Source organism: Homo sapiens, chromosome 16 (assembly GCF_000001405.40).
Source record: "Homo sapiens chromosome 16, GRCh38.p14 Primary Assembly".
In the NCBI taxonomy this organism is placed as follows: Eukaryota; Metazoa; Chordata; class Mammalia; order Primates; family Hominidae; genus Homo; species Homo sapiens.
In genome coordinates this window covers 90,144,485-90,157,401 of record NC_000016.10, presented here as the reverse complement: position 1 = coordinate 90,157,401, position 12,917 = coordinate 90,144,485, and the positions used below count along the sequence as shown (strand labels likewise).

General features: G+C 44.3%; 2 long non-coding RNA genes and 1 pseudogene across 2 annotated transcripts in view; all 3 read right to left on the bottom strand.

Moving 5' to 3' along the window:
- FAM157C (family with sequence similarity 157 member C) overlaps positions 1-12,917 on the bottom strand; it is a 75,343-nt gene that overhangs the window by 20,205 nt on the left and 42,221 nt on the right. The gene's annotated exons all lie outside the window — the stretch shown is intronic.
- LOC105376781 (uncharacterized) overlaps positions 1-12,917 on the bottom strand; it is a 34,672-nt gene that overhangs the window by 4,321 nt on the left and 17,434 nt on the right. The window contains exons 10-12 of the long non-coding RNA NR_170196.1: positions 10,690-10,754; positions 8,277-8,466; positions 1,311-1,434 (exon numbers count right to left, since the gene is read on the bottom strand). This is a non-coding gene — a long non-coding RNA (uncharacterized LOC105376781). The remainder of the gene's footprint in view (positions 1-1,310; positions 1,435-8,276; positions 8,467-10,689; positions 10,755-12,917) is intronic.
- RNU6-355P (RNA, U6 small nuclear 355, pseudogene) lies at positions 12,707-12,810 on the bottom strand (annotated as a pseudogene).

The following is a 12,917-nucleotide window of genomic DNA, read 5'->3' as shown; positions in this document are numbered from 1 at the left end:
CAGTGCTAAATAGTGAGACTCTGTGTCTACCAAAAAAAAGAGACATTAGCCAGGTGTGGTGGTGGTGCACACCCGTAGTTCCAGCTACTTGGGAGTCTGGGGTGGGAGAAATCCCTTGAGCCTGGGAAGTCTACACTACAGTGAGCCAAGATTGTGCCACTGCACTCCAGCCTGGGTGACAGAGTGAGACCCTGTCTTAGAAAGAAAAAAGAAAAGAAAGTGTTAATCCCCCTATGGGAATCTCCTCTTCTCCTGCCCTCTCTGGAACCTCACTTGTCAGTTCTTCCTCCCACTTTCCTGTATCTTTAACCTATCCCCCACTTTTAGCTCCTTCCCATCATCATTTAAATTACTCAAACTTCTTCTGTTTTAAAAACCTCTCCCTAAACTCAGGGAGAGGTCTTCTGCACACACATTGAGCCATCTGCTCTTCCTGGTGCCTTCTCTACAGCAGCCTGAGCCATGTCTCTAATCTATGAATCTCATCATGTTACTCCCCCATTTACATCACTTCTCCTTGCCTCAGGGATTAAGTCCAAACTCCTTAACAGCCCCTGCTCTGCCCTGCCTTGCAAGGCAGCCTCACTGCTTGCCCCTCTCCATTACATCTGCTATGGAGTCCAACTGAGCCTCATCTGCCCCTTGAACGCACACTCTTTCTCCTCTGGGAGTCTCTGAAGTGGGTAATATCCTCTGCTTATAATATGCTTCCCCTTAAACCTCTACTCTCTTCCTAGCTAGCTTTGACTCCTCTGTCACTTGTCCGCTTTGGCATCACCTCCTCATAGAAGACTTCTATGACTCCCGAGATTCTCAGGAGCATGGCAGGTGAAGTGCTCCTCCCATGAATGGATGGAGATTAAGGAGTGTGTGTTATTCATGCTTAATTCACCAGTGCTTAGCTGAGTACCTGGCATAAAATAGTTACTGTGGTGGCCAAAGTAATAACCCCCACCGCCACCAATTGCTCATGTCCTATGTTACACAGCACAATTACATAGGAAGGGGGAATTAAGAGTGCAGATAAAATTAATGTTGCTCATCAGCTGACCTTAAAACAAGATTATCCTGGAGTATCTAGGAGAGCCCATGTAATCACAAGCATTCTTTAAAACTGGAAGAGGGAGGCAGAAGGTTAAGAACCAGAGACGGTGGGCACAATGGCTCATGCCTGTAATACCAATACTTTGGGAGGCCAGGGTAGGAAAATCCCTTGAGTGCAGGAGTTCAAGGTCAGCCATGGCAACATACTGAGGTCCCATCTCTACAACAAAATAAAAACAAAATTCACTGAGTGTCACGATGCTTACCTGTAGTTCCAGCTACTGGGAAGGCTGACATGGTAGGATTGCTTGAGCCTGGGAGTTTGAGGCTATAATGAGCCATGATAGGACCACTGAACTCCATCCTGAGTGACAGGGCAAGGTCCTGTTTCTGAAGAAAAAAAGGACATTGGAATCAGGGCCCTCTCCATGCTGAGGTGCCTACAAGGCATCTCTCTCTGCAAATGAGTAAACATCACCCTCCAACTCCTTACAGAGTGGAGCAACAGGAAAACTCCTTCACCTCATTTCTGTGCTGCTTGGGAGGCCTGGACAGCCCAATAACCAGCTCCTCGCTGATGAAGCAATCAGGAAATGGCTCGAGTTGAGCTAAGGAGAATTTGGATCCTTCCTTTGGTTCTCAGTAGGCAGGGTAGGGGCCAGGCATGGTGGCTCATACCTGTAATCCTTGCACTGTGGGGGGCCAAGGTGAGAGGATTGCTTGAGGCCAGGAGCTCAAGACCAGCCTGGACAACATAGCAAGACCTGGGTGGCATACACCTGTGGTCCCTACTACTTGGTAGGATGAGGTGGGAGGATTGATCACTTGATCCCAGGAGTTTCAGGCTGCAGTGAGCCATGATCACACCACTGCACTTCAGCCTGGGTGACAGAGCCAGACCATGTCACAAAAAGTTAGAAAAAAAAAAAAGAGAGGGAGAGAGACTATACACAGGCACCACCACATTTGGCTAATTTTTAAATATTCTGTAGAGACAAGGTCTTGCTAGGTTGCCCAGGCTAGTCTAAAACTCCTGGCATCAGGCTGGGCATGGTGGCTCATGCTTGTAATCGCAGCACTTTGGGAAGCTAAGGCAGGCAAATCACCTGAAGTCTGGAGTTCGAGACCAGCCTGGCCAACACGGTGAAACTCTGACTCTATCAAAAATACAAAAATCAGCTGGGCAGTAGTGGCGTGTACCTGTAGTCTCACCTACTCGGGAGGCTGAGGCAGGAGAATCACTTGAACCTGGGAGGTGGAGGTTGCAGTGGACCCCATCACTGCACTCCACCCTGGGTGACAGAGCGAGACTGTCAAAAACAACAACAACAATAACAAAAACAAAAACAACAACAACAAAAAAAACTCCTGGCATCAAGACATCTTCCTGTCTTAGCCTCCCAAAGCCCTGGGATTATACTGTTTCCTATAATTGAAGACACTTGTTCTTATACTGCTTTAAGGTATAAAGGAAGAAAAAAAAAACAGATAATGACAAATGTTGGTGAAGGCCGGGCATGGTGGCAGCCTGTAATTCCAGAACTTAGGGAGGCTGAGGTGGGCAGATCACTTGAGGCCAGGAGTATGAGACCAGCCTGGGCAACATGGTAAAATCCCACCACTACAGAAAAATCTAAAAATTAGCCAGGCATGGTGGCGTACACCTGTAATTTTCAGCTACCCAGGAGGCTGAGATGAGAGAATCACTTGTGCCTGGGAGGTCACGGCTGCAGTGAACTGTGATGGCATCATTGCACTGCGGCCTGAGAGACAGAGCAAGCCCCTATCTAGAAAAAAAAAATGTCAGTGAAGATGTGGAGGAATTGGAACCCACATACATTACTGGTGGGAACATAAAATTGTGTAACCATTTTGTTTGGGTATTTCTTTTCTTGTCATTTTAATTGGATTTTTAAAAAATCAAGACGGGGTTTCACTATCTTGCCCAGGCTGGTCTTGAATTCACGGGCTCAAGCCATCCTCCTAGCTGAGCCTCCTGAGTAGCTGGGATTACAGGTGTGAGCCATTGCACCCAACTGGTATAGCCACGTTAGAAAACAGTCTGGCAGTTTCTCAAAAGGCTAAATGTACAGTCATCCTATAATGCAACAATTTCACTCCTAGGCATATATCCCAGAAAAATAAAAATATATGTCCACACAAAAACTTGTACAACAATCTTCATAGCAGCATTATTCATAATGACCAATACATGGAATACATGGAAACAACCCAAATATCCACCAACTGATGAACAGATAAACAAAATGCAGTGTGTCTCTACCATGGAATACTGCCATAGAAGGAATGAAATATTGATACACACTATGACATAAAGGAACTTTGAAAACACTGTGCTAAGAGGGAAAAAAAGCCACAAAAGATCACATATTGTACAATTCTATTTGTCCAGATTAGGCAAATCTATAGTGACAAAAAATTAATCAATGGTTGCCTAAGGCTGGGGGCAAAGGTAGGTGGGGAGAGTAGGAGGTAGTAGCTAAGGGGTATGGATTTCTCTATAGGGTAATGAAAGGTTCTAAAAGTGACTGTGGTGATCGATGCACAGCTCTGTGAATATTCTAAAACCTACTGAATTGCAGATTTCAATAAATAAAGTGAATGGCATTTGAATATTTTAATAAAGCTATTATTTAAAATAATAATAATAGGGGGCTGGGCACAGGTGGTCATGCCTGCCTGTAATCCCAGCACTTTGGGAGGCTGAGGCAGGAGGATCACTTGAGGTCAGGAGTTTTGAGCCCAGTCGGAGCAACATGGCAAGATCCCGTCTCTATGATAAAAAATTAGCTGGACATGGTGGCACATGTCTGTAGTCCCAGCTACTTGGGAGACTGAAGTGAGAGAACCACTTGAGCCCAGGAGTTTGAGGCTACAGTGAACCATGATCATGTCACTGTACTGTAGCCTAAGCAACAGAGCAAGACGCTGTCTCTGAAAAGGAAAGAAAACAAATGCAAGTTTTTATCACTTTGTGAGTGTAGCCAAGTTGGAGGAGAAATAGACAATAATAAAAGAGCACTGAATAATGACGGTGAGTGGCTGGTTAGGCTCAGTTGCTAGCTAAATGGCTTCTAAAAAATTCAATAAAGTTACAGCTCTGGGGACAGTCATGTAGTCAAAGAATGAAGGCGAAATTCATTACAATTGCCCATGGTCTTTATTTACATGCCTTCTAGTGAAAAATTCCTAAGTGCCTAAACAGCAAGTCTGCAATGATAGCAGCTGTTTATTAAAGACTACAAAAAAGAAATGGAGGCCGGGCGTGGTTGTTCACATCTGTACTCCTTGAATTTTGGGAGGCTGAGGCAGGCAGATTGCCTGAGGTCAGGAGCTCCAGAGGAGCCTGGCCAATATGGTGAAATCCCATCTCTACTAAAAATACAAAAATTAGCTGGGTATGGTGGCGGGCACCTGTAATCCCAGCTACTCGGGAGGCTGAGGCAGGAGAATTGCTTGGACCCAGAAGGTGAAGGTTGCAGTGAGCCAAAATCGCACCATTGCACTCCAGCCTGGGTGACAAGAGAAAGACTCTTATCTTAAAAAAAAAAAGAAAAAAAAAGAAATGGCATCTTCTTCAAGAATTACATCGTGTTTCATGATAAAGAAGCTCTAATTTTGCATTTGTTCAAGTATTGATGAGATTTACCCAATATGACACCCATCTTGGATAAAATGCAAACAACACAATTTCATTTTGTCATTAACAAAACCGATTAAGTAGTCTAATATAAATTGCGATCTTATTAAAAACTGATCAGATTAAAAAAATTATGGAATTATGGAGCCAATAAGATGTTACAACCTGTTCCAAGGGGAATTCCAAAATCCACACATATCTGAGACCATCAAGTATGATGAAATATATTTGATTACTATATTGAAAAATAAACTGATTACATAGCCAACAATTGGACAGGGGTCTCCTCATCCACAGCCACACAAACCCGATCATGCAGCTATGTGGTTACAAGGCCTACATAGCCTAGAAGGGACTGGTCTGACTTGAGATTTCATTTGTATTTGTATTTTGAGACAGGGTCCCACTCTGTCACCCAGGATGGAGTGCAGTGGTATAATCATAGCTCACTGCAACCTTGACCAACTGGGCTCAAGAGATGCTCCAGCCTCAGCTGCCCCCATACCTGGGAATACAGGCAAGTACCACCATGTCAGGCATTTTTTTCATTTTTGTAGAGAGAGAAGACTTGCTATGTTGCCCAAGCTGGCCTCAAACTCCTAGAATCAAGAGATCTGCCCATCTCAGCCACATGAGTAACTGGGGCCATAGGTACATACCATCATGCCTGGCTATATTTATTTTATTTTATTAAATTTATTTTTTTTATTTTTGTAGAGAGGAGGTCTTGCTGTGTTGCCCAGGCTGCTCTCAAACTCATGGCCTTAAAACATACTCCCATCTCTGCCTCTCAAACTGTTGGAACTATAGGTGTGAGCCACTGTACCTGGCCTGACTTGAGATTTCTTTTATCTAGCATCCTTTACTTGGTAGGATTGGGAAAAGCAGTAGTGTTTTTTAAAATTACTTAATAATTCAATCAGAATCAAACTCAACCTTGACCACTGCCTTCTCTCACAGCTCACATCCAGTCTGTCAGGAAATCCTACTGACTGACTTCAATATGTATCCAGGCTCTAACCATCTCTCACCACCACCATGAACCCCGTCAGGATCACTATCATCTCCCACCGGGATGTTGCCACAGCTTGGCCCCCATGCTTCTACCCAAATCTTCCCATAGTCTTTCTCAACTCGGCAGCCAGGTCGTGCTTTTAAATCAGGAGACGGATCATGTCGCCTCTCTGCTCAGAAGCCCTTGGTGGTTCCCATTTTAGTCAGAGTAAAAGCCAAAGCCCCAGCAATAGCGTCCCAGGGCTTACACGATCTGTACCGATCCCAGCCCAGCAACTCCCTGGCCTCCTCGCTGACTTCGCTCCCTCTATCTCTTTGCTCCACTGGCCTCCTTCCAGAGCCTCAGACACACCAGAGAGTTTCCTCCTAATGCCTTTATCCTGTTGACTCAGCCTACAATGCTCTTCCCTCAGCACCTTGGCCAGCTCCATCACCTGCTTCAAACTTTTGCTCAGTATTCACTTATGAGGCCAACCCTGACCACTCTACTTAACACTGCCATCTGTCCCCATTCCCACCATGCTCATTTCTTTCTTTTTGAAATAAGGTCTTGCTTTATTGCCCAGGCTGGAGTACACTGGTGCAATCACAGCTCACAGCAACTTCAACCTCCCAGGCTTAAACAATCCTCCCGCCTCAGCCACCCTAGGAACTGAGACTACAGCTGCATGCCACAACACATGGCTTTTTTTTTTTTTTTTGAGACGGAGTCTCGGTCGCCCAGGCTGAAGTGTAAGGGTGCGATCTTGGCTCACTGCAATGTCTGCCTTTTGGGTTCAAGTGATTCTCTGCCTCCCAAGTAGCTGGGATTACAGGCACCCACCACCACACCTGGCTAATGTTTGTATTTTTAGTAGAGATGGGGTTTCACCATCTTGGCTAGGCTGGTCTTGAACTTCTGACCTCGTGATCCACCCTCCTCGGCCTCCCAAAGTGCTGGGATTACAGGCGTGAGCCACTGCGCCTGGCCTTTAAAAACATTTTTTTTTAGACATGAGGTCTCATTATGTTGCCCAGGCTGGTCTTAAGCTCCTGGGCTTAAGCGATCCTCCCACCTCAGCCTCCTAAAGTTCTGGGATTACAGGCGTGAGCAACTGTAACATGAGGTCCCAGCTTCATGTTCATTTTTTGTTGTTGCTACAACAAAGTACCCTACATTTAGTGGCATCAAACACCACAAATCTACCATCTTACAGTTCTGGGGGCCAGAAGCCCAACTAGGTCTATCAAGGCTAAAGTCAAGGTGTCAGAGAGGCTGCATTCCTTCTGGGGGAGGCTCTAGACAGAATGTGCTCCTTTGCCTTTTCCAGCTTCTAGAAGCCACCTCCATTCCTTGACTTACCTCGTGACTCCATATTCAAGGCCAGAAGTGCAGCATCTTCAAATCTCCCTCTCTGACCTCTTCTTCCATTACCACATCACTTTCTCTAATTCTGACTCTCCTACCTCATTCTCTTATAAAGATCCTTGTGATTGGTGGGTATGGGGGCTCCCATCTGTAATCCCAACATTTTGGGAGGCCAAAGAGGAAGGATTGCTTGAGGCCAAGAGTTAGAGATCAGCCTGGGGAAAATAGGAAGATCCTGCCTTTACAAAATTAAAATCAGCTGGACATGGTGATGCATGCCTGTAGTTCCAGCTACTGGAGAGGCTAAGGTGGGAGGATTGCTTTAGCCTAGGAGGTCAAGGCTGCAGTGAGCTATGATCACATCACTGCACTCCAGCCTCAGTGGCAGAGTGAGACTCTGTCTCCGATATAAGAAAAGAAATATACATTTGGTCTCTGCCCGTGGTTCCTGGCATAGAGCTTCCAAAGCTCTTATAAAGCCCTTCGTGACAGAGGTAATAGGAGCATTTTCTGTTTTGATATTTAGTCTTAGTCCCAGGTTCCTGACACAAGGGCCTCTAAGGTCTTTCAGATCTGCAGCATGGTAAGAATGCATGTGGGATGCTGTTGAGCTAACAGGGTGGCTGCAAGCTCCGAGACTGCTTCAGGAGGAGGGCTAGCTGCCAGAGAAAGCAACCACATTTTTTTTTTTTAAACGGAGTTTGGCTCTTGTAGCCCAGGCTGGAGTGCAATGGCACAATCTCAGCTCACTACAACCTCCACCTCCCGGGTTCAAGCAATTCTCCTGCCTCAGCCTCCCGAGTAGCTGGAATTATAGGGATGTGCCACAACGCCTAGCTAACTGTTGTTATTTTTAGTAGAAACGGGGTTTCACCATGTTGGTCAGGCTAGTCTCAAACTCTTGACCTCAAGTGGTCCATGTGCCTCAGCCTTCCAAACTGCTAGGATTACAGGAGTGAGCCACCGCACCTGGCCCCAACCACATTTTTTGAGGCTTGGGACTTTCAGCCTCACCTGCTGAACTCCAGGAGGCAAAAGGAACTGGAGATTGACTTAACTACCAATGGCCAGTGATTTTATCAATCATGCCTCCATAAACACCCAAACAGCAGGGTTTGGAGAGCTTCTGTGTTGCTAAACACAAGGAGGTCCTGGGAGGGTAGTGTGCCCAACAGAGGGCATGGAAGCTCTGTGCCCCTCCCCACTTACCTTGTCCTGTGCATCTCTTTCATTGGCTGTTCCTGAGATGGAGCCATTACATTGAGCCAGTAATAGAAAATAAGGTGGCCAGATGCACTGGCTCATGCCCGTAATCCCAGCACTTTGGGAGGCAGAGGTGGGCGGAATCACTTGAGCCTAGGAATTTGAGACCAACCTGGGCAACATAAGAAGACCCCATCTATACAAAAAATAAAAGAAATTAGCCAAATGTGGTGGTGGGAACCCTGTAATTCCAGCTACTTGAGAGGCTGAAGCAGGAGAATCACTTGAGCCCTGGACGTTGAGGCTTCAATAAGCTATGATTGCACCACTGCACACCAGCTTGGACAACAGAGCGAGGCCCTGTCTCTTAAAAAGAAAAGAAAAAAAACTTGTTTTTCTAAGTTCTGTGAGTTGTTCTAGTAAATAATTAAACTCAACAAGAGGGTCATGGGAAACCCTGATTTCTAACTGGTTGGTCAAAATACAGGTGACAACCTAGGACTTGCAACTGGCATCTGAAGTGAGGGTGGTCTTGTGGGACTGAGCCCCTAACCTGTGGGTTCTGTGCTAACTCTAGGTAGTGTCAGAATGGAATTGTGGGATACGCGGTTGGTATCCAGAGAGTTGGAGAACTGGTGTAGAAACTCTGCACACACATTTGGTCAGAAGTCTGTGAGTAGAGAGAAACGTGTTGCAGGAAGTCAGGGACCCCAAACGGAGGGACTGGCTGAAGCCACAGCAGAAGAACATAAATTGTGAAGATTTCATGGACATTTATTAGTTCCCCAAATTAATACTTCTATAATTTCTTAGGCCTGTCATTACTGCAATCTCTGAACATAAATTGTGAAGATTTCATGGACACTTATCACTTCCCCAATCAATACCCTTGTGATTTTCTATGCCTGTCTTTAATCTCTTAATCCGGTCATCTTCGTAAGCTGAGGATGAATGTCCCCGCAGGACCCTGTGATAATTGCGTTAACTGCACAAGTTGTTTAAACAATATGAAACCTGGGCACCTTGAAAAAAGAACAGGATAACAGCAATTTCAGGGAACAAGGGAGATAACCTTAAACTCTGGCTGCCTGTGGGCCGGGTTGAACAGAGCCATATTTCTCTTCTTTCAAAAGCAAATAGGAGAAGTATTGCTGAATTCTTTTTCTCAGCAAAGAACATCCCTGAGAAAGAGAATGCATCCCTAAGGGGAGGCCTCTGAAATGGCCGCTTTGGGGACGGCTGTCTTTTACAGTCATAGATAAGGGATGAAATAAGCCCTGGGTTCACGTGGCGCTCCCAGGCTTATCAGGACAAGGAAATTCCCGCCTAATAAATGTTGGTCAGATGGGTTGTCTGCTCTCAAACCCTTTCTCCTGATAAGATGTTATCAATGACAATGCGCGCCCGAAACTTCATTAGCAATTTTAATTTCGCCCCGGTCCTGTGGTCCTGTGATCTTGCCCTGCCTCCATTTGCCTTGTGATATTTTATTACCTTGTGAAGCATGTGATCTCTGTGACCCACACCCTATTCGTACACTCCCTCACCTTTTGAAAATCACTAATAAAAACTTGTTGGTTTTGCGGCTTGGGGGGCATCACGGAACCTGCCGACGTGTGATGTCTCCCCTGGACATCCAGCTTTAAAATTTCTCTCTTTTGTACTCTTTCCCTTTATTTCTCAGACTGGCTGACACTCAGGGAAAATAGAAAAGAACCTACATGAAATATCAGGGGTGAATTTCCCCCGATATCACACTGGCTCTTCTCTCACCTGTCTACCTGCTTAACTTAATAGGAGAGGCAATGCATGGTGCTCATGAACAAGGCAAGCATTAAAGTCAGACCAGACTAACATTTGACTCAGTCCTAATATTCAGGTGAGCTTGGGCAAATCACTCATTAACCCCAAGTCTTCATCATTTTGTGCATATAATGGGGATAACTGTGGCACCCACCTGTTTTTGTGAGAATCAATGAAATATTATGCTTGATGTTATTGTGATCATGATACTATCTGACAAGGGCAGTGATGCATGATAACATCAAAAAATTAGAAACTGTAATGAGGTCTCTTGGGCAAAATTCCATACAAGCAAATTACTGTCTCTACAAAGCATTTCTGCCACACTTAATTCACCATTCCCTGAACAAAATGTACCATCTTCATTGTTCAGGTCTGTATAGTGCTGGTTTCCCTGCCTGGGCAGCTCACTCCATCCCATCCCAGCCCAATCCCCATCCCTCCACCTCCCCCTTCCCTCCCCACTCTCATACAACTCTTCCTTATCTTACAGGACTTGGCTTCAATGTCACCTTAACTGGAAGCTTCTCTCCCTCTCCAGAAGAGCTTCCGATTGCACTTGATGCATGCACTATTATTTGATCATTTTTGAGTTACAGTCCAAGTCTTTTTGTACCTGAATAACATGTTGCCCAGTCAGTTTCTCTTCCTGGATTCAGAAGTCTTTCATGGTAGGTCCAGCTAGAAGTGACAAAAAGACATTTAAAAAAAAAAAAAAAGAGGGATGACACAGACAGACATCAGCACTTAAAAGTTTTAAACGATATGTGAAAAACAAAATTTAAGGGCTTCTAGGAGAAATGTAGGAGGGAAGGTGTTACTGGGAAATATGATAGAAGGTTAATTTTTATTTTATTTTATTTTTAGAGAAAGGGTCTTGCTCTATCACCTAGGCTGGACTGCAGTGGTGCAATCACAGTTAACTGCAGCCTCAACCTCCAGGGCTTGAGCAATATTCCCATCTAATTTTTATTTTGTTTAAGAAATGCAGTCTTGCTCTTAGCAAAGCTAAAGTGCAATGGTGTGATCATAGCTTACTGCAGCCTCAACCTTCTAGACTCAAGTGATCCTCCAGGCTTAGCCTCCCCAGTAGCTCGGACTACAGGTGTGCACTGCAACGTGTAGCTCATTTTTTTTTTTTAATTTTTAGTAGAGACAAAGTGTCACTATGTTGACCAGGTTGGTGGTGATCTCCTACACTCAGGCAGTTCTCTCACCTCAGCCTTCCAAAATGCTGGGATTACAGGTGTGAGCTGCCACACCTGGCTGAGGGGGTTAATTTTTAATTATATAAAGAGCTCAAAGCAAATATTAGAAGGAGCCTAAATGCCTCCAGCAGTTGACTGGTACTGGTAAATTGTGATACATCCATATAATAAAATATTATGCAACCATGAAAAGGATTAAGATAGATCAATAGGTATTGGCACAAATGTCCACGAAATATGAAAATATGAAGTGATGTTCAATCACCATGTACGTATCTTGAAGGATATGGCCCATTTTCTCAACTGCAATTATTTCCTGAGATAAGATTATGGGTCTAAAGAGTGAAGGACATTTTTCACTTATTTAAAAGTATTTATCATTTTTATAATTTAATAAAAGATTAAACAGATCATTGAATTAGTAAAAGACAAAGTAACTCTATAAATAAATGGAAAAGACACAGATACCCCAGGCATGGTGGCTCATGCTTATAATACCAGTACTTTGGGAGGGGGTGGTGGGGGGATTGCTTGAGGCCAGGAGTTCCAGACCAGCCTAAGAAACAAAGCAAGACCTCCTCTCTAGTAAAAATAAAAAAATAAAAATAATTGGCCAGGCATAGTGGCATGTGCCTATAGTCCCAACTACTGAGGTGGAAGGATCACCTGAGCCTAGGAGGTCAAGGCTGCAGTGAGTTGAGACTGTGCCACTACACTGAAGCCTAGGAGACAGAGCGAGACTTCATCTCAAAAAAAAAAAAAAGGACAATAAAGAAATAAAGCTAATAAGCTAACATAAGGAAAGATAAAATATGTGACAAATAGGCTGGGCACATGGCTCACAGCTGTAATCAAGCACTTTGGGAGGCCAAGGCGGGTAGATCATGAGATCAGGAGTTCGAGACCAGCCTGATCAACATGGTGAAACCACGTTTCTACTAAAAATACAAAAATTAACCAGGCATGGTGGCATATGCCTGTAATCCCAGCTAATAGGAGGTCTTTCATTTATCACACAGAAAATAACTTGTTAAATTATAATACCTGTGTGGGCGAAGGTGCAGTGAAATGGCCATTTTCTTGTAGTATTAGTGGTGTTTAAAATGTATATAAGCCTTCCAGCATAAAGCTTGGAAATTTTTTTTAAATCATACAGACAGTGACTCATTATACTGCCTCCTCCAACTCCTGGCCTCAAGCAATCCTCCCACCTCAGCCTCCCAAAGTGCTGGAATTACAGGCTGACAGCCACCATGCCTGAAAGCTTTGCAATTTACATCGAGGGTAATAAGAATGCTCATGCCCTGTGACTCACAGTAATCTCACTTCTGGAAATTTCACCTTTGGATATAATTCAACCTAAACAAAAGGTCATATGCACAAACACAGTGAAAATCTGGGAGTAATTTTTTTCTCTTTTTTTAAAAAAATATGGAATGCTTCACAAATTTGCATGTCATTCTTTCACAGAGGCCGTGCCAATCTCTCTATTGTTCCAACTTAAGTATGTGTGCTACTGAGGCAAGCATGAGTAATTTAAGATAGGGTGGTTAAGTGAAATAAGGAAGAATTATGGAGAATTTAAAAATCTATGCTATTTATAGGCACCTAGTAACAGCTCAGTAAATATTAGCTG